We start from the raw sequence: 27766 nt of genomic DNA on the forward strand, positions 1-27766 counted from the left end.
GATTCTGCCTCAAAAAAAATTAATAAATAATAATAATAATAATTTTAGTAGGTTCTACCTTCCCCACGTGTAGTTGTCCTCTCTCCCTCCTAAATTATAAGTTTCCTAAGGGCAGATAACATGTTTTGTTCTTCTTTTTTTTGTACATAGTTCATACTTAGTAAAAGTATCCATACTGAATGAATGGCTCTTACTTATACTGTAAAGAAATAAGGCATACAGCGGAAGTGTGTATGCTTAATACACATACAATACACAAACTGTTGGATTTAAGGAAAGATTTTGATGACATGAAGAGGCTAACACTGCCGAACGTACTTCCAAATATTGCCTTGCCCCTCAACTCTCCTTGGAGTGGTACTGGGGGGAGCAAGACACATAAGCAACAATAATAACAAGAATCATAATAGATATATTTATTGAGCACTTACTTTGCAGTTGATGCTCTTCTAGCTAAGGTAATCTTCACAACCCTGGTCTTTTCAAGACACACTTTGAGAGACAGGTACAGTATGTTTTCCATTCTAGAGATAAAGAAACTGACAGAAAAATCAAATACTACTTTTTTTATTAGTTGGGTGAATGCTTAGTACCACCAAACAAACCTCTTTTTGCAATCCGTGCTAAAGCAAGTAAGTGCCTTAGGCTCACCACCAAAGCAGGCCTTCCTTTTTCCCTTAGTCTAAATTTTATTGTGGGTTGACCACGAAGCTCAGAGCAACTTCCAAGGGGCCCCTAGCTGAGCTTAGTCATCACCAGTCCTGAAGGCAACAGAAGGCAGAAGAGAGGCCCAAGTGTGTGCAGGACTTTTTAAATTCAAAGCTGTGGTTTTTCGAAGCACAGGGACCCTGTCCACTGGCAAACCTGGCCCAATCAGAGTCTTATATGCTAATACTCGGATTGGCAACCATGAGGAAAGCTGGGAGAGTTTCCTTTCCCTCACACAAACCCTAAATGAGTAGATGAATAAATAGACCCTGCATGGTATATGTAATCATATACCAAGCATAATGAGAGACAAAGGAAATGTGGCAAAATGTTATCAATGGAGGAAGTCAAGCAAAGAGTTTTTGGGTGTTATTCTCACCATCTATCATTATTTTTTCCTGTTAGAAATTTTTCAAAATACACACTTAGGCAAAACTTTAAAAGACATCTAAAACAAACAAAAATGAGTAACTGTAAAGGTAGGAGTCAACAATAAATACACGGGAAAGGAATCTGAAGCCAGGAACGTTGTGGCCCATCCAAGGGGGAAGTGCCCAGAGAGAAGGGAAGAGGTAGAACTGGAGACAGCTGGTGCTTCTTAGGGAGATGCTCAGCCTGCCCAAGAGGCTAATTTAAAACTAAATCTTATCCCTGGATCCCACAGCCCTTAATGTGACCCAAACTTTCCATTACCAAATTCTGGGGTTTTAAATCCTGATATTGTGTGCTTGAATCTGGAATCTGTCTCATCCATTAAAGATCTGACCTATTGAGGCCACATGTGTCTATGCAATAAGTTCTTTTCAAGCCAAACTTTCATGTTAAAAAAAAAAAAAAATCCTGAGAGGAAATACATGTGGTCCCTGTCCGCTTCTAGCCCACTTCAGGCTATTTATTGTTTTATTTGATTGTTGAGAAGTCAGAAATGACTAAATTGGTTCTCAATGTGGCCTGCACATTTCCTTGGCTAGGAATGGTCTGATTAAGGCAAAGCCCAACTTAGAATTTAGCAGTGTTCTGATCTGTGTGGGTTTGGGGGAAGGCATGTGTATTTTGTTCTTTCGTTCTGAAGTCCTTCCCTTGTGGATTTCAGACTAAAGTGGGTGTGATGACACATTTACCCTTTTGGTTTTGTTTTTAAAACACAAAGCTGACAAATGTGTTTAATGGCCCCGTAGTACCAACTGACAGCGGCACGGAGCCCAGGAGGCTCACTTGTACCTTGACTGTCTCAGTGAGGAAGCTGAATTTTACTCACCACTTAGAAGGATTAAATGCAGACCATAGCATACTTCTGACATTTCATTGGCTTATCAGGAAATTCCATGAGAGTGGGGAGGAGGGTGGAAGCAGAAGAGGTACATACATTGAATGGTATATCCTACTTAGAAATTATAAACTCTAAGAAAATATTAATAGAAGGAGGAAAATATTTATTTTTCAGCACAGAGACTATTCTCTGTTTATACATTAGGTACCAGATCATAAAGAATCACAGAGAGAGAGAGATTATTCATCCCAACTGGTGTGCATTTTAATGGTGAAGAAATAGTTACCTGACTTACCCAAAGTCATAACTAGTTGGGACTGGACCTGTTGTAAAATCCAGGGCTTCTGACCTTTCTAATCCAGTACAGTATTCATTCAGCACCTCATCTTCCCTGTCATGGTCTACAATAGCCCTGCAAACAGTCTTCTAAAACTCATCAGAGTTGGCTGCTCATGTGATCCGGTCCAGGTCGGTTCTCTAATCTGCCTACAGGTCAGTTCTTTGAAATCATTTCCATGCCTCCTCATGCACCCCCAAACTCAGCTGGTCATTTTGCAAATGCAGGTTGTCAGCTGTGAGTGAGCACTGGTAACAGAAAGAAAATCCATCACCACGAGTGCTGATGGAAAAACAACTGGGAACGTACTGCCTAGTAGAATGTTGTTTGTGGCCCGATCTTTGTATAAGAAGGAAAACATCATAAATTAAAAGAAAAGCTACCAGCCAACAACTGTATTTTTACCAGCCTCCTCTTCTTCCAGAAAACTCATTGCGAGGAAAATAAATAGCATTCTTTCCCAGCAGCACAACCGAAAGTCTTGTTAGTTATAGGCGAGTGGCTATTTGAAAGCCTGGCTACAATTTTCCTGTTTTACTAACACTTGTAATTAAATCCATCAACTCCCTCTAAGATTCTGTGTAAATACCAGATGCTCCCTACATTTTTTTCTCTCCTGGAGAATATGAAAAGTTGTACATTAGCAGTAGAGGAACTTCAAAGGAGGCACAGACCTGAGTGAAAGTGAAGTTCTGAAGATCCACACTCGCTTCCCTGTGAATTTCTTAGAGTGTTCCAGGGAGGGCAGCCCACCACACTTGGCCAGCACAGGCCCATCCCATCTCTCACCCGAGTGGCGGATGTTAAGTTGACATCCGTGCCCCAGTTCAGGAGCAGATGGCTCTGCGTGGGGCATGGTGGTTTGGGAGAATCCACCCGGGCCTGGCGGGAATCCTGTTGTTGAGGGAGGAGTAGGGCCCTGCCTCCCGCTCCCCGAGGGTTTGCAGCCCGCTTTTCATGTGCTATTGATGCTGCCCCCACCCGCTGTCACTTGGAGTCATTCAGTCAATCACATGGAGAATCAGAGGAGAGGCTTGGGATGGCTCTGGATAAATCCTCCCTCGCTACTGGGGGTGAGAAAATCCTCTTCAGAGCACATGCACTCCTCAGAGGGCATCAGTGTACATATATATATATATATTTTTTTTTTCTTCTGTATGCAAAGAAGAGTAACTTGTTCCCCCAAGGTGAAGGATTTCAGCGGTAGGCAAAGCAACACCACTACCACCCCAACCCGCCCACTTTGCTTTTCCAGAATTAAACGTAGTTGCCTAGAGCTGTCATGACCTACAGAGAAAGCTGAGGAAGTGTTAAGTGAATCATGAAAGCAAATCAACAGACCTGCTGGTATTTAAATTTTAGTGTATTCCAGTGTGGATTTCTTGGTATTTGTAATGCAAAAACTGGGAACGGGGGCTCCACCTCCTCTCCCAGCAGATCCAACCCTATGTTCCAACTTAGTCCCAGCATATTCGACCCCATGTTTTGTGTGAATTTACTTTAAAGTCTTTCACACTCCCGAGGCCGTCAGCAAAGCACTCATATCTTATGGGCAACCCCCAGCCCTCTTCGCTTATAAACTAACTGTCCGTGGCTTTGGGGTTGTTCCCTACCAGTTTTATTGGGCAGGTTGTTAGCTAAGGGATTCATTCTAGAACCAGAGGTTTGAGGCAGACCTCTAAGATCCTCTTGACTCTGAGTGTGTGGAGGAGAGTGAGGGAAAGGACAGAACCCATGGCCCGCGCCACCTCAGCTTCTTTCAGTTTCTATTTGAAACTGAAATCACAGAAGAGCTGTCAGATGGCAGCTGTGCATTTGGTGGAAATGAGAATTCCAGATTTTATGCTAATTCAGTTTCAGGTTCCTTTGAACCTGCAGTTTATGGGGCCGTGCTGAAAACTGCAATCTGTTTTGGATAAAAGAAGGGATTACTAAAGACTTTTTAGTTGTACAAACATTCCCAGCCTCCAAAAGGAAAGGGGGGAGACCAGATTTATTCTTTCATTAAAATTGTCATGTTAAGTTTTCTTCTGCTTTATCAAATAGAAAACTTTTCCTTATTTTGGCAATGATTTTTCTTATTTCAAGTTTTTTTGTTGTTGCCGTGATTTATTTTCATTTCAGTAGCACTCTTTCTCGAACTTCAAAGTCCTTGTCACTTCCTCCCAGAGGCAGGAACACAAAGGTGGTGCCCATGGATGTATCTCATCCTGGCATGTGCTCACCTTCTTCCATTCTCGCAGTGTTGATTGAGGCTGACCCAGATGGTTGTTTCACTTACCTATTATTGCTTTGTAACAAACCACGAATTTGGAGCCTGGAAATACAATGCTGCCATTAGGGCAGGGCTCTGCAGAGAAGCTTCCTCTCTGTTCCACATGGCATCTGCTAAGGCAAGTTCAGCTGGAGCTGGCGGAGCCACACCCAAGATGGCTTCTTCACGTGGCTGGCAAGTTGTCAGGGGCTGTTGGCTGGGAACTCAGCTAGCCCTGTGGTCCCAAGGCCTCAGCTTACTTCCATGTGGTACTGCTTGGGCATCCTTACTATATGGTAACTGTGTTACAAGCTTAAATAACCAGAAGCTGCTGGGCCCAAACTCTGAATCTCCAGCATATCACTTCCTCCTCATTCTATTCATCAAAACAGTCACACGTCAGTCACAAGGACATAAGTTTCACCTTCTAATGGGAGGCATGACATGCACATACAGAATTATTTGGGAGCCATATTTGGAGATGAGCAACCACAATGGTTAATGATATATTTTTTAGAATTTTGATTTTCAGGAGAATGTACCCACGCTCTGTTGTTAGCCATATGGGTTTCTATATTCTGTGAAATCCCAAACTGTTGGCAATTCGTGGAAAGGACTTTGCAGTTTAGTTTTATGTTTGAGATAATGTCTTCATTCTCTTCTGTTTTAGTTGGCAGAGATCTGGTCATTTATTTATTTACTCATTGATCTGACCACTGCGTATCAACCCATCTCTTACATGTGATGCATGAGAATACTGTACTAGATGTTAAGGGCAATGGTGGTGTGTAAGAGTACATCACAGTCCTGGTCCTTGAGTGATTGAATCTACAGACTGCTCTCCAAAGCAGTATCTTGTTCCCAGTGAGGATACGTGTGCCCCTAAAGGAATGGCAGTGTCCAGAGGTGAGCCGAGAAACAACTACATGTTATATATTGTCTTAGATCTATGTTTCCATTAGGAAGCATTCAAGAAAAGCTGTAGTTTGGAGCAGAAGAAGAAATTTCTGGTGTAATTCATTTGCAATACAGATCTGTAAATGGAAATTACATAGGACCAGAGAGGAGCTGGCGGGTCTTTGTAGGCACACAGGCTTGCCCTGACCCTATGTAACAGCGGCATATGATCATAATAACTGGCATTTCTGTAACAGTTAACCATCTACAAACTGTGCTAATTTGATTGATAAAGCCCCAGAGATGGAGGCTATTGGAATGGCCATAGTAGGGTTTCCCATTCCATTCTGATAGCATGGAAGAGACAGAGAGAAAAACTAAGGCCAGAGCAAGAGGGAAAATCAGAAACCTTGCTCAATAAGAATGCTTTCAGGAAATCGAAACTAAGGGAATTCTACGACATTCTAGCTCCTCAGCTACTACCCCAGCAAGTGTATGATTCCCCAAACCAGTAGAAGCAAATATTTTGTCCTCAGCCAACAAGAATTCCTGCAAGTCAATATTTGGACCATCAGGATGCTTAATAATAAGGCTAGGGAAAAAAAAAAAAAGCTTTGTTAGATCATTGTATATTAGCATAGATGCAGGAGTCAAATTTTCAGTACCCTAAAGATTATTAATACTTTCAGGTAACGTTTCCAGGAGGAGATAGCAAAGCCTTTGAGTAGAAGGATGGACTAACATGCGGTTGGCCACCATTCTCAGGATGTCAGTAATCTTTCAAACCACAAAACCTGGGAAGGTAAACTACTTGTATATCCCAGGAATAGTCACGTGACTTATAGACAGCCTTACCATGACCCTTCAGATCTTAAAACCTCTCTAGAGTTTAGACAGCAGAATGATTTTGTCTTAGACATCTGGCCAGTGGAGGGAGAAACTGAGATTTACCCAGCAGTGGGGATAGGATGGTGTGGTGTGGTATGGTGTGGCGTGATGTGGTGTGGTGTGGCGTGGCGTGGCGTGTTGTGGCGTGGTATGGTGTGGCGTGGCATGTTGTGGTATGGTGTGTGTGGTGTGGTATGGTGTGGCGTGGTATGGTGTGGGGTGGTGTGGCGTGGCGTGTGGTGTGGTATGGTGTGTTGTGGTATGGTGGGGATGGACAGTGGGAGCATGGTATTAGGGAAGGAATGTGACATGCCTGCTGGCACCATGCTATAATCCTCATTCCTTCACTGCAGAGGACCTCCTTACACTCCTGTATCCATTTCCTTATCTAAAATAAGGAAGAAACTCTCCGTTACTCTCTTTGCCTCACAAGATTGATGTAAGAGCAAACGACATTATAATTGTAGCATTCTGGAAAAATATGTGTTACTCTAGGGCATTTTTGGCAGCGTCCTTTGGAGAGGCTGAATCTTAGAACCAGTAAATGGCACCGTCACATATAATTTATGGCTCATGCTCTTTTTTCAGTCTAGGGTTCACTTCTTGGTTGGTTGATTTCTCCCTCCCTTCCATTTCAAGGCACTGAAATGAAGACTAGAATCATATTTTGAGCTTGACTCAGTCCTAGAATAGCAGCAGTCTTTCCCTGGGACTAACCAAAGCTAGAAATGAGGGTCCTCAGATCAGATACAGAAAAGTAGTTCTTGGCTGGGTACAGTGGCTCACACCTGTAACCCCAGCACTTTGGGAGGCTGAGGTAGGTGGATCACTTGAGGTCGGGAGTTCGAGACCAGCCTGGCCAACACGGTGAAATCCCGCCTCTACTAAAAATACAAAAATTAGCCAGGCATGGTGATGCACCCCTGTAGACCCAGCTTCTCAGGAGGCTGAGGCAGGAGAATAGCCTGAACCAGGGAGGCGGAGGTTGCAGTGAGCAGAAATCGCACCACCACACCCCAGCCTGAGTGACAGAGCAAGACTCTGTCTCAAAAAAAAAAAAAAAAAAAAAGAAGAAGAAAAAAGAGAAATAGTTCTCCCTCAGTAGTCCTCCCTCAAACTGAGCTGAAATGATAATAACATATGTGGTATGACTTGTTGAATGGTAAACATGGTCGGAGAACTCCCAAAAAGGTAGTATTTCTTTCAATATTCATATTAGTCATTCCAGCATCCAACTGAGGAACATCTAAGGTGGTTTCAGGGCCCTCTTTTACCCTGAATTGTTTTTTAAAAAAAGAAAAAACTGCGGAGAGCTCAGCCTAAAATGGCTAAAATGCCTCTTACCTAGAGAACTGGAAAACGCGATCAGTTCACCAGCAGTTCCCCGTTTCCCACAGTGGTTGTTTCTAACATTGCCACTTAGTGCATCTGCTGAAACACAGATGGTCGCATCCCTACCAGCAATTGCAGAGACTCCCTTCCCACCCTCCCAGAAGCTGCACCCATGCCCGGGAGCCCATGGCTACAGCTCTTAATTTATACATGGGTGCAATGACAGCCACTGTTTGCTGAGCAAGCCCCCGCCCCAGCACCATCTCCCCCAGCTCAGTCCTTCTTCTTTCATAGTAAGCTCCTGTCTGGGATCCTCACCTGTCAACAGACCTTACAGCAAGGCTGCCTTTGTCAGGCTACCATATGTCCTGTCCCCTTAGGGGACTGGGTGCTTGACAACCTTCATTTATAAAACTAAGAGGGGCTGCTAGAAGTCAGCTTTCCTGAAACTATAAGAATGTCTACTCCTAGGTGACTTGTCACTAATGATGAAGGTAAGTTGCTGTTCCAAGTGCTTTACATACATGAATTCATTTAACCCTAACAACAGTTGCAGCAAAGTAGGTGATGTTATGGCCATACTTTCTAGATGTGGAAACTGAGGTACAGAGATGCAAAGTCCTCTCTCCACCATCACACAGTAAGTGGGAGTGGAGGATAAGCTAGGATTTGAACCCATTGGTTCTTTCATGAGTGGCTAAGCTTTTAACCACTAGACCAACTACCTCTTAGTTGTCCCCAAACATAGAAATGGCTGGCACCTGTTTAAAGGCCCTTTTTGTTTTGTTTTTGTTTTTGGAGACAGAGTCTTGCTGTATCCCCCTGGCTGGAGTGCAGTGGCGCAATCTCAGCTTACTGCAACCTCCCGGGTTCAAGCGATTCTCCTGCCTCAGCCTCCCCCGAGAAGCTGGGATTATAGGCACCTGCCACTATGCCCGGTTAATTTTTGTACTTTTAGTAGAGATGGGGTTTTACCATGTTGGCCAGGCTGGTCTCAAACTCCTGACCTCAGGTGATCTGCCCACCTCGGTCTCCCAAAGTGCTAGGACCACGCACACGTGAGCCACTGCGCCAGACCCGAAAGCATCTTTTCATTCATTCATTTATTTGTTTTTAAATCCAATCGAATTTAGCAGTGGGGAGTTGTCTTAAGTGTCTTCTTTTCCGCTGAACACATTATTTTCCTCAATCTGTCATCTCTGATGACTGACTTACACATTGTGTTCTACGCCGATCCGTCCTTTCAGCTCATGCAGACATTTTGTATACATTTTCATTTTAATTACCACCCCCCAACTCTGCCCCATGTTCATATGGAAATAGAGGAGCCAGGTGTTGGATACATGAGCCGGTAACTAAGGCAGGATGCGTACCTGGACTTAGTAGGGTCCCCCAGGGAGCATGGACTCAATATGAAATGCAGGTCGCTAGACCCCAAGTTTCAAACACCCATCAATATGACATGATGTGAGAAAGAGCAAACCAAGTCCAGACGGAAACGAGACAGCCATGACCAGGGGAGGCAGAGAGGCCTCACAGTTCTCATCACATGCACTGCTGTAAAAAGTAAGATGAGATACCTACAGCCAATTGGGTGACACGAGCAGGGATTGGATTTATTTGTATTTTTCATTGCCTTTCTTTGCAGGGTTGTCAGATTCTGAATATTAATACCTTAATGTAGATTTGGTGGTTAAGTAAGATATATTTTATGGATTTTTTAATACTTTTTCCCCTTTGTAGTTTATAGTACATTGTGAAGTTTGAAAGTAAAATTCCTTTCCTTGACTTCTACACTCGGAAAATATTTATTCCCCCCTGTGTCTCAATGGTATGCATCATAAACTAATCCAGTTCAGTTTATTTACTTCCCTCTTGTTGCAGATCCATGATCAATTGTAGCAACACGGGCATATAATGGCAGAGGTTTTTACTTTACAGCAGTACGAGCATGAGCTATTGCACTCTCCTTTCAGGGTGATAAGGAAGGAAGCTTCCATTTTCAGAATCACCCATTCAGAAGGGGTTGGGGGGCACTGAGCAGAGGAACTGGGGGCCACCTGACGTTGATTAGCCCTGAATCGCTAAGGAAGACATCCCAATCCATAGTTTCAAATGAATCAGCCTACACAGAAGAAATCCCTGGGAACCAGAAAGAGTTTTAATCTCCTGGGCTGAACAGTGTGGAAGGCAGAATATTAGGAATTAGCAGAGGTGACAAGTAGGACAACCTCGGCCTGCCTCCCAGTGGCGGGCAACCTGTTGACTCCAGTTCTCCATCCTAGGACCCTTGCTTGACTGCCATGAGTAAGAGCAGTGGGCACCGAAGTCAAAATGCAGATCCCTCCAGGCTTCTCAGTAGCTGTTGTCTGCCCTGAGCATTCTCCCAACCTTATCAGTTACCCAGACACTTGTTGGGAGCCCTCAGACTAACTAGCATGCTGGGACAATTTCCACCGTGTCTTCATTCCTCTCATCATGGGTATGTTGAGCAAGGCCTCCTAACTCTGTGCTGGGTACAAATTCCAAGATGTGGACAAATTCTAAGATGTGAATTCTATCCACAAGAAACCAGGTGAGTTCAGAAGGCATGGCTCGGGGCATACAGGAGGATTTATCATCACAAACAGATAATAAAGTGTTGTCTCCAGACACACATCTGTTATTTATACTGCTGCTGTGGCATGGACAAAGACAAGCAAGACACAGTCCTTGGATAGTCACATTTAAAGCCAAATTGAGGTGGTGGGTCCTCCATACAGAGAAAATAAACAAAAAAAACAAATCATGGCCGGGTGCAGTGACTCATGCCTCTAATCCCAGCACTTTGGAAGGCCAAGGTGGGAGGATCGCTTGAGGCCAGGAGTCAGAGATCAGCATGAGCAAGATAAAGAGACCCTGTCTCTACAAAATTAAAAATTAGCCCAGCGTGGTGGCGCATGCCCATAGTCCCAGTACTCAGGAGGCTGCTGCAAGATGACCCCGTGAGCCTAGTAGTTGGAGGCTGCAGTGAGCTCTGATTGTGCCACTGCACTCTAGCCTGGGCAACACAGCAAGACGCCATCTCAACAAAACAAAACATGCTTCTGCACCAGTAAGACATCATTTTTATAGTCGTAGGCAAAACGGTAGTCCTCTTAAAACTGGAAATTACAATTTAACATGTCTAAATGACATAATTGGGATGCTGCTATTTTATGTTTTAAGAAATTGAAGCCCTCACTATTAAGAGTTTCATCACATCTTAAGGCTGGCAGGCTTTTATAACATTTTGCTGGATTCAGGGTCGACTTTATAATCTACCAAGAATATCCATGTGGCTGGGTGCAGTGGCTCATGCCCATAATCCCAGCACTTTGGGAGGCAGAGGCAGGAGGATCACTTGAGGCCACGAGTTCAAGACCAGCCTGGGAAACATGGCAAAACACCATCTCTAGAAAAAAATTTTTAAAAAATTAGCCAGATGTGTTGGTGCACACCTGTGGTCCCAGCTACTCCCAGCTACTCCCAACTACTCAAGAGGCTGAGGTAGGAGGATCACTTGAGCCCAGCAGGTCGAGGCTGTAGTGAGCTGTGATGGCACCACTGCACTCCAGCCTGGGTGATAGAGCAAGACCCTATCTCAGAAAAAAGAAAAAGAAACACCCTTATTAGGAGACCCAAGCTATCCACTGTCCAGGTTCTGACCCTGTCTGGAGGGATTCTTTGCAGTAGGTCCTCTATAAAGATGTCGTTCCCAGCCAGGCACGGTGGCTCATGCCTGTAATCCCAGCACTTTGGGAGGCTGAGGCGGGCAGATCACGAGGTCAGGAGATCAAGACCATCCTGGCTAACACAGTGAAACCCCGTCTCTACTAAAAATACAAAAAATTAGCTGGGCATGGTGGCGGGTGCCTGTAGTCCCAGCTACTCGGGAGGCTGAGGCAGGAGAATGGTGTGAACCCGGGAGGCGGGGCTTGCAGTGAGCCAAGATCACACCACTGCACTCCAGCCTAGGCGACAGAGCAAGACTCCGTCTCAAAAAAAAAAAAAAAAAAAAAAAGATGTCGTTCCCTAGTAGAGATGGTACAAACCACTGTACCCACTTTATGGGACTGGTGTCATTTTGATGTTCATGTGGTTATTTTCATTATTGTGGTGATCCCCACTGGGAGAACCCAGTAGAAGGCAAGGCTATGGCCATTGTGGCCCTAATAAAATAGACTTTTATTTTGTTGGTCTCCACGGTAATCAAAAGAAGTGTGTCATCTGTAATCATAATAGACAACAAATATATCCTCCTTACTAAGTGCCAGGCACTGTTACTGATGAAGGCCCCAAGAGGTGTGGCTCCTGTTATCTCACTTTCTAGATAAGGAAACTGAGGCAGGGAGAGTGAAGAGATTTACCCAAGCTGTCCTGGCTCAGAAATGGCAGAGCCACAATTATTAACCTGATGCTGGCTCCAGGGCCCAGCTCCAAACCTCTACCCTGAAGAACAAGTAGAAACTTGGATTTTCAGAGCTTGCAGAACCTTTAGAACTTGAAAAGAATGGAGACTTCCATAGTTTCAGAAATAAACCAGGCATGGTGACATCCTTGCCGAGGCTAGTTGGAGTTATCACCCTCCTTCAATCACCTAGTGATCTTTTAAAACTACATCATCCATAACGAAAGGTTCGAGGAAATTCTGGTGAAGACTTCCTCTTCCTTTAAACCACCTCAAGAAGCACACAGCACATGCGCTGTTAGAGTGCCTGAACTTCATTATATTTAGGAGGGGGAGCACAATGAAATTAATGAACTTTCTCTGTATAAAACGCTTAACAGAAGACTATAATTTGTAAGAAATATTTTGCTAAAATATATTTAGCTTAAATCTGGTAATTTGTGATATAAATTGAATCCCATCTCAGATTATAATTTTTAAGAATTTGCAAGTATAGGCCAGACAGAGTGGTTCATGCCTGTAATCCCAGTACTTTGGGAGGTCAAGGTGGGAGAATCACTTGAGGCCAGGAGTTTAGGACCAGCCTGGTCAGTATAGGAAGACCTTGTCTGTACAAAAAATAAAAATTAGTTGGGCGTGGTGGTACACACCTGTAGTCCCAGGTACTTGGAAGGCTGAGGCGGGAGGATTGCTTTAGCCCAGGAGTTCCAGGTTATAGTGAGCTATGATTGTGCCACTGCACTCCAGCTTGGGTGACAAAGTGAGACCTTGTCTCTTAAATAAGTTAATAAATTCATAAGAATTTGAAAGTATAGATTGACTTACAAGAATTTCCCTTTGTTTTTAAACCTAGTTTAAATCTTTAGATGTATTTTTGAGATTTGAGGAAGAAGGCTCCATATTTTAACGTAGCTTTACATTTTTTTTAAACTGATTAATCATAAACTTGGCTAAGATCTTTGGGCATATATTAAAAATTATTTCTGAAATCATTAATCTAACACCAGAGTGGAAATTGAGTCCACATTCTTGCTCTCTGCTTTCTATTAGAAAGGGTTGCCGCTTTCTAAGACTTGTTCTCCTTAGATTGGGTTCAGAGGCTAAAGGTGATGTTAAGAAGCCATTAGTGTTTAGTATGTTAATCCACCTCCATGTAACAGAAAAGATAGCTTCCAGCCTTTGACTTGGCATCTTTATATTAAAACTCCAATAAAAGGAAATTAAATTTCTCAAGGAAAAAAAAAAAAAACAATCTTCCTGATTATTGAAAGCCCTCTGACCTGGATTCAGTCCCTAATATATGGATTATCAAATTTAGTCTTCTTTCTTCCTTCTTCCTACTTCTGATGCTGTTGTGTACCTGGTCCCCTCCAATTTTGACATTCATTCCCATCCCCGCTTCCAGAAAGCATAGGGAATAGAGCAGTTTGGAAACCAGTCAGAAATGGGCTCATTTGTGAGTCTGGAGAGAGGATGAGAAATGGAGCAGGTCACAGTGGGTGGTGTTCTGCAACCGGGCCAGCCAGGGGACCCTGGGGAGCAGCACTGGAGGTGGCCACAGTGGTCAGAGGCTTGGCTTTTGGCGTTCCCAGGTTCCTCTTGATGAGAGATCATCAAAAGATCTGGACACATGCAGATCTGGCTGAGGCCGTCATCTGAGGCCTAATCCCTGGTAACCATTGATGACAATTTTTTTTTTTTTTTTTTTGAGATAAAGTCTTACTCTGTTGTTTAGGCTGTAGTACAGTGGCATGGCGTGATCTCGGCTCACTGCAACCTCCACCTCCCAGGTTCAAGCGATTCTCCTGCCTCAGCCTCCCAAGTAGCTGGGGTTACAGGTGTGCACCTCTACACATTTTATTAGTAGAGACGGGGTTTCGCCATGTTAGCCAGGCTGGTCTCAAACTCCTGACCTCAAGTGATCCACCTGCCTCGGCCTCCCAAAGTGCTGGGATTACAGACGTGAGCAACTGCGCCCAGACTGATGACAATCTAATGCAAGGCATGATAAATGTCAGAAGTGCCACCTAATGAAAGCACCCTGGAGGGCCAAGTGGTTTCAGCTGGTCAGCTAAGCTGCCATGCCATCGTGCTCTCAGTTTACCCTGTAGGGGATGGTGCAGGAGCTCAGGCAGTTTCTTCCCTGTAACACCGATTTTGCTAGAACAACAAGATAAGAAAACTGTTCCATTTTGATTGTTCCAAAAGAAACAACCTTTTAATGTCTTCTCTAGAACATTTCATGTCCACCTTTGAGCTATCCTGGTATTGTCTAAACAGCTTCAGAATGAATGCCGCCTCCCTGGAGGACCACAGCTGGGTATTGTGACATCTTGTAAGCAACTGGAAAATCCATCTCCAAACCTATACCTTCTGAGATGCCTTTTCTTTTGACTTCTCAGGAGGCAGTGGTAGAGAAAAATCACTGTTACCTATATTTTTAAAAAGACTTGTATAACACCACATTGTGCTACCAGTTTGGGGGAGGGGGTGATGAAGCTAGAGAGAGAAGGCTTCTTATTTCCAAACTTAGAGGCTAGAGGAGGGGGAAGTATGCCATACAGCAAGCACCCCCACCTTTTTTTTTTTTTTTTAACTTGAGAGGTTTTTCAAGAGTGCCATGAAATCAAATAGTGATAGACATGCAACTTCAAAGAGGCAAGGAGTGGCCATCATTACTTTAAACCAGTCTGCATGTCATTCATATGTGGTGTGCATCTCTCCCAACCCCTGTTCTCTTCCTCTCTTCCTCCAGCCACACTCCAGGTAACGGTGGCACTGGGAGGGGACTTAGAACTGAAGTTTTCCTCTCACCCCACCTTGGTGTGCCCACTGTACTCCACAACCCTACCGGTTGCAACCTAGGGCTTGCTTGCTCTTTTTCTTGTACTAGGAAAATTGCAGCAGCTTTTCCTCTGCACCAAGGAGGGACCTTGTCAAGCTGCAGGTGTGGAATTAAAACTCCAGATGTTTTCAGAGGGTTTCCTCGCCCGGGGTGCGTTCTGGTGGGAGTGGGTTGCTCAGGGGAATCTGCTGAGTGCCTCATTTCTGGCCATTCAGTCCCCCACACCCTCTGGGGGCACTGCACTGTGCTCTAGGGGATACAGACACGATACATGTTAGGATGATAGACGTAACTGCTGCCCATGTAGCGAGGCTTTGCCATTGCTTTCATTCTTTCCCTACATTCGGTGAATGCCAGGGGAAGCAACAGGCTCCACTTTTGTGGATGCAGGGTGTGCACGTGTCAGAGGGTGTGAGGAGCTGGGAGGAGAGGATTTCTAAGTGGCCAGTTCATGCTCTTAAGTTATTCATCAAACCGAGCACACTGCGGTCAGTCGGCTGTGGTGGGGAAGGAGGTTAGGTGAAGACCTTTGTGTCTGAGACCCAGACCGTGATCCCCGTCTCCATTTTCCACAATGCAATGATTATTTTGTATTGAGCGCCTACTATGTGCCAGGCCTTTTACATACATGACTTTACCACTGAGCCCTCACAACCGCCCAGAGAGCCTGCTCTTTGCAGATGTGACTGGCTTGGTGGCAATTCAACCCCAGGCTGCGGGCCTAGTGGCCTTTCCCTGCCATGGCGCAATCTTGGAAGCGGCAACTGCGGGGAGGGCGAGGAGCGGTGCAGTTTCCGCCGCGCCCGCCCGCAAGGAAGGCAGCCGGGGGGAGCCGAGGGCTCGAGCCGCGGGGGGAGCAACAGCTGTCGATGTCGCGCCTGGGGACCGCGCCTCCGCTGGGCCGACCCGGCGCCGGGGACGAGAGGAGGGGCGGCGAGGGGCGGGGCGCGCGGGGCGGGACGGAGGAGGGGCGGTGGCACCGGCGGCTCGGGCTCGGCGCGCCGAGGAAGTCCCGCTCCGAGAGCTGCGAGCGTCTGGAGGAGGCGCGCTCGGCGCAGTCGGGGAGCGAAGTCCGGAGCAAGGGGCCCCCGCGTAGCCGCCGCCCCCTCCTGCTACCGTCCAGCCAGGGAGCCCGCGGCGGCCGCCGATGGAGTTCACTTGAGCTGTGAACCGGCGGGAGAGGCAGGCGCCCGCAAGCCGAGCGCGGGCCGGAGCCCAGCCAGCCCCGGGCGCTCACCCGCCAGCCCGCAAGCTCCGGCCAGAGGCGCCGCCGCCCCGCGCCCCGCCGTTGCAGCGCCTCCTGGGCCGCGCGCCGGCGAGATCCGCACAAAATCCAGACTCCCGGAGCGGCTCCCTCCAGCACCGCGGCGGGCCCAGGACCAGGCAGCCCGCGGCGCGGCTGGAGAGGCGGGACCGGCTGTCGGGGAGCCCCGGGCGGCCGCCGGGGAGAAGCCGCCGCGCGCCCTCCTCCTCCTCCTCCCTCTCCCTCCTCCCTCCCTCCGCACATGGTCTCCTTTGTCCTGTCGCCGCCGCCGCCGCCTCGCTCTTAGCTCCGCGCGCCGCGGCGGCGGCTCAGGCCGCTCTTCTCCGCCTCGCCCTCCCGCCGGCCGGCCCGGGACGCGCCTTGTTAGCCCCCGCCGCGCCAGCGCGGCCCCGCGCGCCGCAGGAGCGGCGGGGAGACAGTGGCGAGCGCGGGCCGGGCGATCTCGGCGGGCGCGCTCCTCCCGCCGCCCGGGGCCTCGGCCGCGCTGGATGTGTGCGCGCGGCGCCGGCTCTCGGTCGCCCCGAAGCTGTTGCCCGGTTCGGATCTGGTTCGGCGCCTCCGCTCTCGGACTTTGGCGAGGAAGGAGCCCAGAGACTCTTGTGGACAGAGCCGGGTCGAGAGTTGGGCGTTTTCTCTTCGTGTGTTTTGGTGGTTTCCCCCCTGGTCTTTGACGATCGCCCTTCGGGAGCCCTGCTAAAGAACCAAACCATGAACTTGGGGCTGACCGGACCGTTTAACCCTTTGCAACCAGGTAATGAAGCCCCCGGGGCGCGGCTCGCTTGCCTACCTCTCGCGGTCGGAAGGGAGGCGGCCGGATCGGGGGTCTTTTGTTGCGGCGGCCGGGCCGGCGGGCAGGGGTGGCAGGGGCGGGCTTCTCCCGTCTGGCGCGCCCAAGCGCCCCTTCGCTACCCCTCCTCCCTTCTTTCCTCCCCCCTCTGCGGCCCTGTCGCCCGCCTTTGTACTTTCCTCCCTCGGCCGGCCGGGCTCGGCCGGAGCTGCGCGGTCGTGCCCGGGAGGGCCTGGCGTTCGCCGCCAAGCTCCGATGTGAGGAGGGGGCCGGGGCCTGCGTCCGCTTGAGCTGGGGGCCCTAGCGTGGCGCTGCCCGCTCCTGGGGTCGCGCTTCCCCAGCGCGGAGGTCGGGATCCCGGCCCGCACCCGGTGCCAAGGGAGGCGAAAGGAGATCTGGGCTCGGGTTCGGCAGCGGGAGAAAGAACTCGCGCTTAAGTTTCCAGGAGGTTTCTGTTTTGTTGTTCGAAAGCCCCCCTTCTCGCCTGTGCGGGTGCGGAGGGCGGCCCCCGGGGTCTGCGTCCGAAGGGAGTGAGGGTGGGCCTGAAGCAGGAATCGCTGGGTCCCACCCCGTCTGCACGCACGGCTTTTTATAAGTTTTCCTTATTCTCCGCGTTCCCGCCTCCAATCTGTTTCACTTACTTAACTTTCCTTTAAACGCCAACTACGGCTTCTAGCAATATTTTTTTTACATCCAAAAAAACAAAAAAACATATTCCCCCTTCCCTTAAATAAAAAGCAGCCAAAAGAGAGCTTTGGTTTTCTGTCAGTTTTAGATTCAACCACTTCATGCCCCTACCCTCCAAAACCGAGCGAGGGGATGAAAGGAAGTGAGTAAAATCTTCAAGTCTGTAGCGGGTAGAGGTGCCCCCGTGTTCGAGAGAAGGAAGAGCTCAATTCGTCGGCTCATTCTGGGCTCGCCGCTTTTCCATTTGAATAATAATTTTTTTTAAAAAGCCAGGAAAATGGTCCAGGTAATAGAAGGAAATGCAGACTATTTTCTGAAAGCAACGAAAATGATAAACATCCCCAAGATTCAGACCCAAGGAACAAATCATTTGTACAAATGCCCTAAAACCCTAAGTAGAAGGAAAGTTCGTTGAGGAAAAGCAAAGGGTACTCGTGTCGTTTCCCCTGAAGATTTTGGCAAAGAATCTCTCTTCTGACTTGTTAGGACAGTGGCCGGCCACAGTTGTAACCACCTGGATAGGAGAGAGAAGGGATCCAGAATGTTTTCACGGTCAGCCAGAGCCCCATTGCAGTCGTCATCTTTTGGGTGTTTTTCTGGGGAGGCCTTTCTGAGACACCCCCTTTCCCAGTTGCAAGAGGCATGGTGTCCAGCCCTGTGACTTGTATCAGCCAAGTAAGGGCTTAGAAAGCTTTTAGTCGAAGATACACTCCTAAGCCTCTCTGAATATCCGGTCAGACTTACTTCCTTAATAACTTACTGATCGGCATCATAATAATGGCATCCTCAAGTTTGGTTCAGACATGAGGATCACGTAAGTGTCTGTCTGAGAATCCCATGTGGAGCTGACAAAGGTGGCAGAAGCAAAAGGCCTGTTCACCCACAGCTTCTGTCCTTTTCACTCGAACACACACACACACACACACACTAAGTGCAAATAAAAACTTGGTCAGGAACCATTTACTTTCCCTGTTTATGCTTTTTGCATTCAGAGACAGTAATTTGTTTTTACATTTCTTGGGGCCAATTAGAGTCACTTTAATAGGTAATCCCAGAATTTTCAAAGGTTATGTCAGTTTGGTAAAACACTTTAATAAACAGGCTTTTTTTTCCCCTTCTATCAGTTCATTAATTTTGTAAGCCATGAATTTAACATGAATTTACATTCAAAAAGAATTCCAACCCGTTCTAAGAAACACTTTTTCATGAAAGGATGGTAAAATACACATATCTCGAGTTTTTAGCTGGGAAACTCACAGTCCTAGAAATCTCACTTAATATTTCAGTGTAGCATCATCATGCAATTTTTGGCTTTATAACTCACTATTCTTGATCTAGGTATGACTTGTTTCTCTCCCATTAACATTTTTTTTTGGCAGTTTGTTTTTATGTAAAGGTACTGTTATATATAGTTTAAGATGTCAGGAAGGCCCTCTGTATTTTTCATTATTCCTGCAAAATAGGAAAAAATCTATCTAGGGTTTATGTTAAACTGCATGTATAAATGTATGCACTTCAATGTTCGTTTTGCACATACATTCATTGTTTCTGGATTGGTTAATCATATGGACACCCCCATAAAAGTAATGTTAGAATTAAAATAAAGCAAAAAACAGTCTTAATACAAATATTTTGTCTTTCTATATCACTTGCATTGAGAACTAGAACATGTCCCCCAGATGTACACAGGAATATTTCATCTTTGTCAGTATTACATGGAAAGACTAAATTGAATATCCTCTTTGTCCCTAAAAGCTAGCCCCAGAGTCAAAATATGCTGCACTTCAGAATTCCCCCCCCCCATTTCCTATATTTCCTTTTTCCATATTTATTCAACATTCTAGGCTTTTGCTTTCTCAGAATATGCATCTCTGTGTATCAAGTGTGAAAGATGAGTGATTTCTCATGAGGGTTATGTAGTGAAAACAGCACAAATATAGCTTGGCCATTATAACTTTAAATGCAGATATATCCTCACGTTATGTAGTGGAGATGCTTAATTTTTATTTTTTCAAGTTCTAGAAATATTCAGTGCTGAAACATTACAGCATTTTCCTTCAAACCGACTTCCATGTTTATTTTCCAGAACATTAGTGTATAATTTAAATTGGCTTTAGTTTTACTGTTTAAACAGGCTTATTTCACCTTCCTCAAGCCACTGTAATAATTAGCAGACATGTTCTCTAGAAAATGGAAAGGAAATAATGCTGGTGGCATGCATAGTGGTCGGATTTTGGGGCAGGCCGGCTTGCATCTTTTTGAACACCAAGGTCGTTTGGTTACTGCAAGGGACAGGGATCTTGGAGTCATCAGATGAATCTTAAAAAAAAATTAATTTCTGGCAGTGTTGGCTTACACTTTTTAGTGAGGAAAAGCTTAGCATTAAATAATAGGCATTTCTGATTTGTGAAAGAAAATTGAAAAATTGGCATGTCTGCAAATACCACGAAAAACATAACATTTCCAAAATAATGATCTGTCAACGAAATTGCAAAATCATTATGTGAATGAGCTGAATTGCTTTGTGTATCATCTCATAGAAATATGTTTTGCACAGATAATGTGTCTAATAAGGACACATTTTTAAAATCAGATTTTTTTCCCCCCAGCAAATAGCTGCACTGCAGGTCTCTCTCAAGCAGTCAACTAGCACCACCTTATGGATGATTTGGGGACATTGCTGCTTCCCTGCTAGGCTTTCGTAAAATGTAGTCAACTGATTTAAAATAATGGGAATGTTGATGGTGATGACAATATTAATGACAATAATAATGCTTTTTTCCCCCTTCTTGTTTTTCAGGCATCAGATGCCAGCTCTGAAAAACTCTTCAACACTGTTATTGTAAACAAAGGTAAGACCCATTCATTCTCCTGAGTAATGGCTTATTTTTATGTTAGTTTCATTGTCATTGCCTAGGAAGAAAGAAGAGCTAGAGTGATCTTTCTCTTATAATTCTGAAGCTACTGTTGATGTTTCATGTTTTTGCTTGAGATGGAAGTCTGCATACTTTGTGATGCATTAACATTAACAACCAGTTTATTTTAAAAGAATACATTGAGTCCCTATTTAAACTGATTTGACTAATCACTACTACTATGTGACTTTAATATAGAAAGCTGTACTCGAGAAGAATAGTTCTCAAAATGCCTGAACTTTATTGTTACTTATCAACTACCCAGCAATAGGAGAAATATAAATAGCTGATGTGCATTGCAGACTCCAGTAATCAATGGATGTTTAGAATTCACAGTATTATGGTCATAAACCAAGCCTTACTCTGCTGTGGGCTTTCTGTAAAGTTAATAAACGAGCGAGAGGGCAGAATTTAAATATGCACTATCCCATTAATTTCTTCCAAACCACGATCTAGAGTAAGAGAGGCTAATGATATAGCAGTACATTAAGGGAAAACTAACCTTAAATCATTGCCAGTAGGTTTCTGCGCAGCTTTCATTTGTTAGCAGTATCGTTGGAAATAAGGAAATTTAGGGGAGTCTGTAATCACTGGCTCTGAAAGGTGTGTAATTTGAAAGGGACAAACCATATAAACTATTTAATCTTCCCCTTTCCACTGTCGAGCCTGATTTAGGGGCTGGCATGATAATTGCTAAGTAAAGATGTGCTTTCTGTGATAATCTCTTTCTGGGTTACATGGGCGACACTTGGTAGCACTTGAACAGACTTGGGCCTTCACAAAGTGAAATTTGAGACCATTTCAGCCTTCTGTAGTTGCCTTGGCTAGCATTTTTGCTAGCTGGTTAGTAAGACATTTCCAAGTGCAGTTATTTTGAGCTCCCAGATTATTTTAGAATTTGAACCAATTGCAATTTTAAATAGTACATTATGTTTAGAGTTCCCTTGAGGTGTATGTGATTGCCGTTACTCCCAGAATTACTGTCATATTGAATTTTATCTTTTTTTATTGCATAATGGAGTATTCCAGTTTTATATTTCATCATATTTTCTGATGGACTGAAAGTTTGTATAAATGTGTTATCCATAATGCTAAAAGCCCAATAAAAGAAGATGTGTGCCATTCATAGCATACAGTACTCGTGTGTAAAAATGCACAATTGTCTACCACTTGGCGTTTCCTTGTGAGAAAGGAGGGTGATGGGAGAGGGAGACTGGGGTAGAGGGCAGGTCACCAAAGGCAGGGCTTCTTCGTTTCTGCAGCCCCCCAGGACCTCTGCCACATGTGACTGTGTCTGTCTTCTGCTGATTTGCTACTGAAAGCTTTGGAATGTATTTCCCCTTTCTGGGATCAGGCCCTAGAATAAGAGTTGGCTCCAAGACCTGCACTCTGGCCGCCACTGCCCTGAAAGATTGTCTTCAGGGCGGATGAACAGCTCGCCTCTGCCTCTTCCCTCTGGTTCTTTCCCCCCCTTTTTTTCCTTTTCCAATCAAACGTTTCCCACATTCTTATTTTTGTTTACTTACAGAGTGTGATTTGTGGCATCTATTTGGTTGTGAATAGCCCTCCCCCTGACAGGGTGCCTTTCTTCTGAGCTGCTTTTCTAGGGGTGATTTAGTTGCCTTGAAAGGATTAAGGTTTCTTTGTGTACACTAAAATCAACATAGGCTTTTTCTAAGCTTTGCTTGGGAAACCATACACAAATAAGCATTTTAGTTGATGGCAGATTATTCCTTTGCCCCTTATTTCCATCAAAATGGCCTTTCTTTTCTCCTCCAGAGTTTCCCCTTAATGCCTTATGCTAATTCCTGTTGGTAACATGAATGACAAGAGACGGAATCAGTGCGAATCCAGGTGGTGCAAAGTAGACTGACTGGTATCCCGCACCCCCTTTCCTCCCTGGGGAGAAAGAGATTAAGGGGGGTGTGGAGGGGGAAAGCATCGGGGACAGTTTTGTTAAGGGGATTAGTATTCAAACTGCTAAATATCAGGAAAACAACTTCAAAAAGGGATTCATTGTGTAGCGATAATGTCAATAATTGCTTCAGGACAGGTGCAGAGTCTCCTTATAGGCTTGTGGTTTTGGGTCTGTTTTTACTCCGGGTAGTGGCAGTGTTTACAGGATGAATGGCTGACAAGGCCTTCAAGGAACTGTCAGCTTCATGCACATCAAGTTCAAGTTTTCCTGCAAGGCGGCCTGCCTGCCTGAAAGTCAGGTCTCCTATCTTTGTCCAGTATCTTTAGCCAAGAGCAATAAAAAGCATCATAAGAAAGGGCAAATTTACACCAGGTAACAAACACAACTGGGGAAATCTTCAAAGCCCCAGCTTATGGGACAATCTAACCAGAGTGCAGGGGAGCTGACACGTGTATCCCTCCACCTCCAGATGTTTAAGTTACACATCACTTCTCCCTCTCAAGAGACTGGTAGTATTCTGGCCTTAGAGGAGTGTGGCTTTAAGCTGCTGGTGAGATTATGCTGCTGAGCCTGGTGGCAGGCAGATTTGGTCCATAAAATTTCACCGTGGGAGGGCAGTGCTAATCTCACAAGCTGATTGTGGTGGGGGTTGGGGGGGCGCAGCCCTGATGTTGGGCTGCACAGTGCGGAGATGAAGCTCAGGCAGAGGCAGCAGGGGCCGTGGCTCGAGGCCCATCAGTCAGCTTGTGAGCTTGAATAAGTCATTTACCCTCTTTAGGTCAAGATTTTCAATCATAACAAAACCTATTCCAGGGCCAACATCTCTGGTGGGGATAAAACAATTAATTGGGAAGGGGCAGGGGTTGAAACAGAGTGGATACAGTGAGTATATTTTATATCACGTTTGTTCATCGATTTTATTTTGACTTTCCCTGTGTTATAGATGCCATCCAGTTTCATAGAGATTTTTGTGTTTAGGTGTTCCGAATGGTCGTTTTCTTCTCCTGCCTTTTATTTCCTGCTTTAAAACAAGTTAATCAAACAGCACATGCTTGCATGTACACACAACATGCCTAATGAGGACTGAGCATTTCGAAAGGGGTGTGGCATTGAGCAGGGCTTAGCGTTGTAGACACAAAAAAACAGTTTAACTTTAATCAAGGTCATAGTTGCCATATTTAATCTTTATGTGTTTAAATGTTTACAGGATGTTCATGTGAATTTTATGAATCCTTCTGTCTTTGTGATTCAACCATCTGCCAAAGAAAAAATTAATTTTCCCACTGAGACAGAGGCACAGAGAGAGACTTAGTAACCCTATTTAGTTGATTGAAATGCTATAGGAGCAACAGGACCTGTACCCCAAATTCTGGGGTATTTATTCTATAAAGGAACTTTCAGTCTATTCAACATGGCTAGTATTTATTATCCTCTCTTGCCTACTGTAGATCCTTGCTGGTGTCACCAGTTTGGTCTGTAGACAAAAGTGCAGAAAATGAGTTCTTTGCTGCACACAATTATCCTGCCAAGATAATGAATCTTTCCTAAAACTCTTGGATTGCTCCAGAGCAGAGCTGCTTGAGGAGGAAAGAAAAGAAGGGAAGCCTGTCTGGGAGGAAGGACAACACTAGTCAGGCGTCAGGAGTTCTGTGGAGCCCTCTGTTTATAGGATGCCAGTCCTGGCATGTGGCTGTGGTCTAGGTTAGGGGAAGAGAAAAATCCCTGAATTGCTCTCCCTTCTTGGTTCAGAGCCCTCCTTCCCAGGATTTAGCCCGTAACCAAGACAAGTCACAGATAGACGATGACAAGTCAAGACAACTCATAGATAGACGGTGAGAGGGGCACAGTGGTGTATTTTACCCCGTGACTTTCTCACCCCTTCTCTTTCCTTCAACTTTGTCTCAAATTGCAGAACTGGGTACTCCTGGGGAAAAGCCTCCTGAGTGAGCCATCGGGGAGCTGTGCCCAGCTAAATGGGCATTTCTGAATGGTTTCCTCCAGCAGGGAATGAGGCCCCTCATTCTGCTTCTTTCTACTGTGGGCACCCAGTGTCTCCTGAAATGTGAACAGCAACAGAGCAGCTGCTCACCCTCGTAGGCAGGACCCCACCTCACCTCCATCAGCCTGGGAGGTTCTAGTGGATAGTCACTCACCAAGAAGAGCACCAGACGCAACGCTCTGGCCACCTGGAGCCCTCTCTGACCAGGACTGCTTTTCCTCTCCCGGGCCCTACCAGGCCTATTAGTGGAACACACCCGGCCTCTTCTTGGGGTTGGTTTTGCACTGAGAATTTCCGGTGGAACACAGATGAGGTTGGAGCCTTTAGGTTAGTGAAGCCTTTGGATATTTTTGGCAGTATGGTTCTATCAGCATTGTAGAAAGAAGACCTAGCTTAAAAATTGCCTGAAATCTGAGGAGATGAGGTAAGAAACAAGTTACCCAGCGATACTGCTGGCTTAGTAACCAGGTACCTAATAAATTCTTCCATGGCGACCATATGACCTTATTCTTTAGGTTTAGACACAAGGGATTTCCTTGGTTTGGTGACAGAAAGGTAAGAGTTATATTACCATCAAGGTCACCATTTGACTTTTAAGAAAAACCCATTCCCGCCGAGCATGGTCACTCATGCCTGTAATCCCAGAACTTTTGGGAGGCTGAGGCAGGAGGATTGCTTGAGCTCAGGAGCTCAAAACCAGCCTGGGCAATATAGCAAGACCTCATCTCTACTAAAATTCCAAAAACCTAGCTGGGGTTGGTAGCGTGTATTTGTAGTCTCAGCTACTTGGGAGGGTGAGGTGAGAGGATCACTTGGGCCCACAAGGTCGAGGCTGCAGTGAGCCCTGATTGTGCCACTATAGCCTGGGCGACAGAGTGAGACACCATTTCAAAAAAAAAAAAAAAAAAAAAAGGCCTTTCCATAAAATAATTCTATGCATGAAAATAATGCAGTTGACTGTGGAATAGCTCTCTTAAGAAAAAAATTTGGTTTACAGTTTAAAATCCCTTTATAATGAACATATGGAGACCATTTTACAATTCCTCCTAGGGTCTTGGGTTTAGTCGCAGGGAGGACATGATGTAAAGTGCATTTCCGATGTGCACAAGAGCAAACTGCCCGTTTCAGTCTCTGTAAATTAGTTTGGTTTTTGTCATGCCTTAAATTCCACATAAGGGAGAGTTAGAACATCACTCATTTATTTTTCTCCCTCTGGACCTTCTTTGTACTATTTCAGAGCATTTTCTTGAGTTTTTAGGAGATAGAGATGTCTGGAGAGTTAAGTAGTATTTAAGGGTAATTGGTACTTGATGCAAGAGACAAAGGAGTTATGAGTAGTTCAGTCCCTCCTCCTACTCCATACTGCAAATAGCATGCAATCAGCTCCTTTTGTTATGGAAATTGACCTTCCTATAGAAGCCGACTCTTGGAGAATTTGTTGTATAGAATCATCCTTTGAGCGTTCTTGGAAACAGATGCCTTGTACTGTTAGTGTGAAACCACCAGTAACAGTCAAAAAATATTCCATGTTGCATGAAAGTGTCTCCCGAAAATTTTCCAATAGTTGCTTTGGCCGAACTGATCTTTTGCCGAACTTGTGAATGCGTGTGGTGGTGAATCCTGGGATACTGGATCCCATCACTGGAATTGTGAACCGGGTGGAAGATTCCAGGCATTCGAAGTGATCTTGATGATGCCTTTTGGGTAGAACTTTTGACAGCTGCCACTTTTCCATCCTGAGTGCCCCTGTGATGGAGGAGGCGTAGATTACAGTGTAACCCATTCCATTCTTTTAGTCAGATGTTCAAACATCACTCTGGTTACTTTTGAGCTCAGTGGAAAGCCCTTGACTTATACTGGGCGATTACTGCTGTCCTTTGAAAGAGTTTTCTCTATCCTTGGCAATATTGACCAAAAAGCTTGAATGTTCATCAGCCTCTCTTCAATCCATTCATATTTAGCGTTTTGTGTAGTTAATGATGTAGTTAGTATTTGGTTGTCTCAGAAAGTAATATGCATTCATGATAGACAATTGGAATTGAAAAATATCAGATCAGTTCTCTAGAGTCTAATGAGAACAGTTGAGTGACAAAGGGCTCAATCACGCGGGCCAACCCCAGACAGGAGGGTTCCTAAATGGAGGAAGCCCGTGGCTAGCCCGTGGCCTCTGGATTATTTCTAGTTTCTGACAACTGCAGAAAAATGTTGTTTTCTCTGAATATGTATGTTTATTTAACTAGGTTTCTTTTTGCTTCACAATCTGGATTCCATTCAGTCAGTTACCACTCCAATTAACTAACAATTATTTAACATTAACAGTAATTACAGACGCCAGTTAAGCGCCTACAGATGTCAACTGTTAGCTTTGTACCTAATCACTCAATGAAATGGAGAAAGTTCAACAAACATCAATTAGCTAAGCAATTAGTATGAGTTAGGAAAGAGCATGTTATCATGTGTGAGCTGATTCAATTTATTTTATTTTGGCAGTAAAATACACACAGGCAAGCAGCAATAAGTTCCTCAGATAAGATAAAACTCTATTGTTTTGCGGCTTATATAAGAATTCCTTCCTTTCCTGTGCATAAGTCAAATACACTCTCGTCTGGAATTTATTTAACAGAATTTGTCTCAATTACTCAGAAAGCGCAGTCTCAGGAAGCACCTTTGGTGAATTATGAATCCAGTGACTGTACTGTATAAGGAAATGCCAGAAAACTTCAGTGGAGAAAATGATTGATTCCCACTCGAGTAATCCGCTCCGTGCATTTCGGATTTTTACCAGTTTATTCCTGAACCTCTGGTGGAACGAGTGCAACAGTGATTTTATTAATTTCATAGTGCCTGAACTTTTACTCAGCTGTCTTTTATTTAGCCCGGAGCTAACATCAAAGTATTTTACCTACTTGCCCAGTCTGTGCTTTTAAAAAGTAGAAACAGCTGTCTATTGAAGAGCCATTTCATGAATTCACCAAGGAGATTCCAGACTCTCCTGAACTCAGAGGTGCTGTTCCACTCTCTTTTTTCCCCCTTCGCCTCCTCCACCCCACAGACTTGACTCTTGTCATTAGCTGAGCTTGCCTGGACTTACTGGGAGAGTGCACTCTGAGGCCTGATTGTATGAAGTGGCCCAGAAAGTGGAGATTCATTTTACCTCCAAGAGGAAAGCTGGGCATAGGAGCTGGGCCTCTGGGTCTCCTCCTACAAATGACTTCTCATCAACCCTTAAAGCCCTT

General features: G+C 45.2%; 1 protein-coding gene and 1 long non-coding RNA gene across 28 annotated transcripts in view, besides 10 other annotated features; one reads left to right on the forward strand and one right to left on the reverse strand.

Moving 5' to 3' along the window:
• The window catches only part of AUTS2 (activator of transcription and developmental regulator AUTS2), a 1195032-nt gene that overhangs the window by 1079596 nt on the left and 87670 nt on the right, over positions 1-27766 (forward strand). For 26 of the 27 annotated variants that reach the window (XM_011516010.3, XM_011516013.3, XM_011516014.3 and 23 more), the window contains one exon: positions 20499-20550. In XM_011516010.3, the coding sequence (XP_011514312.1) occupies positions 20499-20550 (52 nt within the window). Of the gene's footprint in view, positions 1-15974; positions 16976-20498; positions 20551-27766 lie in introns of those variants that run through there. The other variant, XM_047420170.1, reaches the window with a different exon arrangement.
• Positions 2647-3572: an enhancer, noted in NCBI's record as "OCT4-NANOG-H3K27ac-H3K4me1 hESC enhancer chr7:70145703-70146628 (GRCh37/hg19 assembly coordinates)". NCBI's record gives its function as "activates a minimal SCP1, AML or CMV promoter by ChIP-STARR-seq in naive H9 embryonic stem cells {active_cell/tissue: H9 hESC(naive)}" and the evidence as "EXISTENCE:reporter gene assay evidence [ECO:0000049][PMID:30033119]".
• Positions 3573-4498: an enhancer, noted in NCBI's record as "OCT4-NANOG-H3K27ac-H3K4me1 hESC enhancer chr7:70146629-70147554 (GRCh37/hg19 assembly coordinates)". NCBI's record gives its function as "activates a minimal SCP1, AML or CMV promoter by ChIP-STARR-seq in naive H9 embryonic stem cells {active_cell/tissue: H9 hESC(naive)}" and the evidence as "EXISTENCE:reporter gene assay evidence [ECO:0000049][PMID:30033119]".
• Positions 15616-15665: a silencer, noted in NCBI's record as "silent region_18226". NCBI's record gives its function as "represses an Ori minimal core promoter by ATAC-STARR-seq in GM12878 lymphoblastoid cells {active_cell/tissue: GM12878}" and the evidence as "EXISTENCE:reporter gene assay evidence [ECO:0000049][PMID:35858748]".
• Positions 15756-16115: a silencer, noted in NCBI's record as "silent region_18227". NCBI's record gives its function as "represses an Ori minimal core promoter by ATAC-STARR-seq in GM12878 lymphoblastoid cells {active_cell/tissue: GM12878}" and the evidence as "EXISTENCE:reporter gene assay evidence [ECO:0000049][PMID:35858748]".
• Positions 16126-16465: a silencer, noted in NCBI's record as "silent region_18228". NCBI's record gives its function as "represses an Ori minimal core promoter by ATAC-STARR-seq in GM12878 lymphoblastoid cells {active_cell/tissue: GM12878}" and the evidence as "EXISTENCE:reporter gene assay evidence [ECO:0000049][PMID:35858748]".
• Positions 16566-16745: a silencer, noted in NCBI's record as "silent region_18229". NCBI's record gives its function as "represses an Ori minimal core promoter by ATAC-STARR-seq in GM12878 lymphoblastoid cells {active_cell/tissue: GM12878}" and the evidence as "EXISTENCE:reporter gene assay evidence [ECO:0000049][PMID:35858748]".
• Positions 17076-17205: a silencer, noted in NCBI's record as "silent region_18230". NCBI's record gives its function as "represses an Ori minimal core promoter by ATAC-STARR-seq in GM12878 lymphoblastoid cells {active_cell/tissue: GM12878}" and the evidence as "EXISTENCE:reporter gene assay evidence [ECO:0000049][PMID:35858748]".
• Positions 17366-17435: a silencer, noted in NCBI's record as "silent region_18231". NCBI's record gives its function as "represses an Ori minimal core promoter by ATAC-STARR-seq in GM12878 lymphoblastoid cells {active_cell/tissue: GM12878}" and the evidence as "EXISTENCE:reporter gene assay evidence [ECO:0000049][PMID:35858748]".
• Positions 17765-18586, reverse strand: LOC107986709 (uncharacterized). The gene is made up of 2 exons (XR_001744947.2): positions 18459-18586; positions 17765-18212 (listed from the first exon to the last, which is right to left on the reverse strand). It is a non-coding gene; the product is annotated as an uncharacterized LOC107986709 (long non-coding RNA).
• Positions 21891-22858: an enhancer, noted in NCBI's record as "OCT4-NANOG-H3K4me1 hESC enhancer chr7:70164947-70165914 (GRCh37/hg19 assembly coordinates)". NCBI's record gives its function as "activates a minimal SCP1, AML or CMV promoter by ChIP-STARR-seq in naive H9 embryonic stem cells {active_cell/tissue: H9 hESC(naive)}" and the evidence as "EXISTENCE:reporter gene assay evidence [ECO:0000049][PMID:30033119]".
• Positions 25543-26387: an enhancer, noted in NCBI's record as "OCT4-NANOG hESC enhancer chr7:70168599-70169443 (GRCh37/hg19 assembly coordinates)". NCBI's record gives its function as "activates a minimal SCP1, AML or CMV promoter by ChIP-STARR-seq in primed H9 embryonic stem cells {active_cell/tissue: H9 hESC(primed)}" and the evidence as "EXISTENCE:reporter gene assay evidence [ECO:0000049][PMID:30033119]".

This window comes from Homo sapiens, chromosome 7 (assembly GCF_000001405.40).
Source record: "Homo sapiens chromosome 7, GRCh38.p14 Primary Assembly".
NCBI classification, from domain to species: domain Eukaryota; kingdom Metazoa; phylum Chordata; class Mammalia; order Primates; family Hominidae; genus Homo; species Homo sapiens.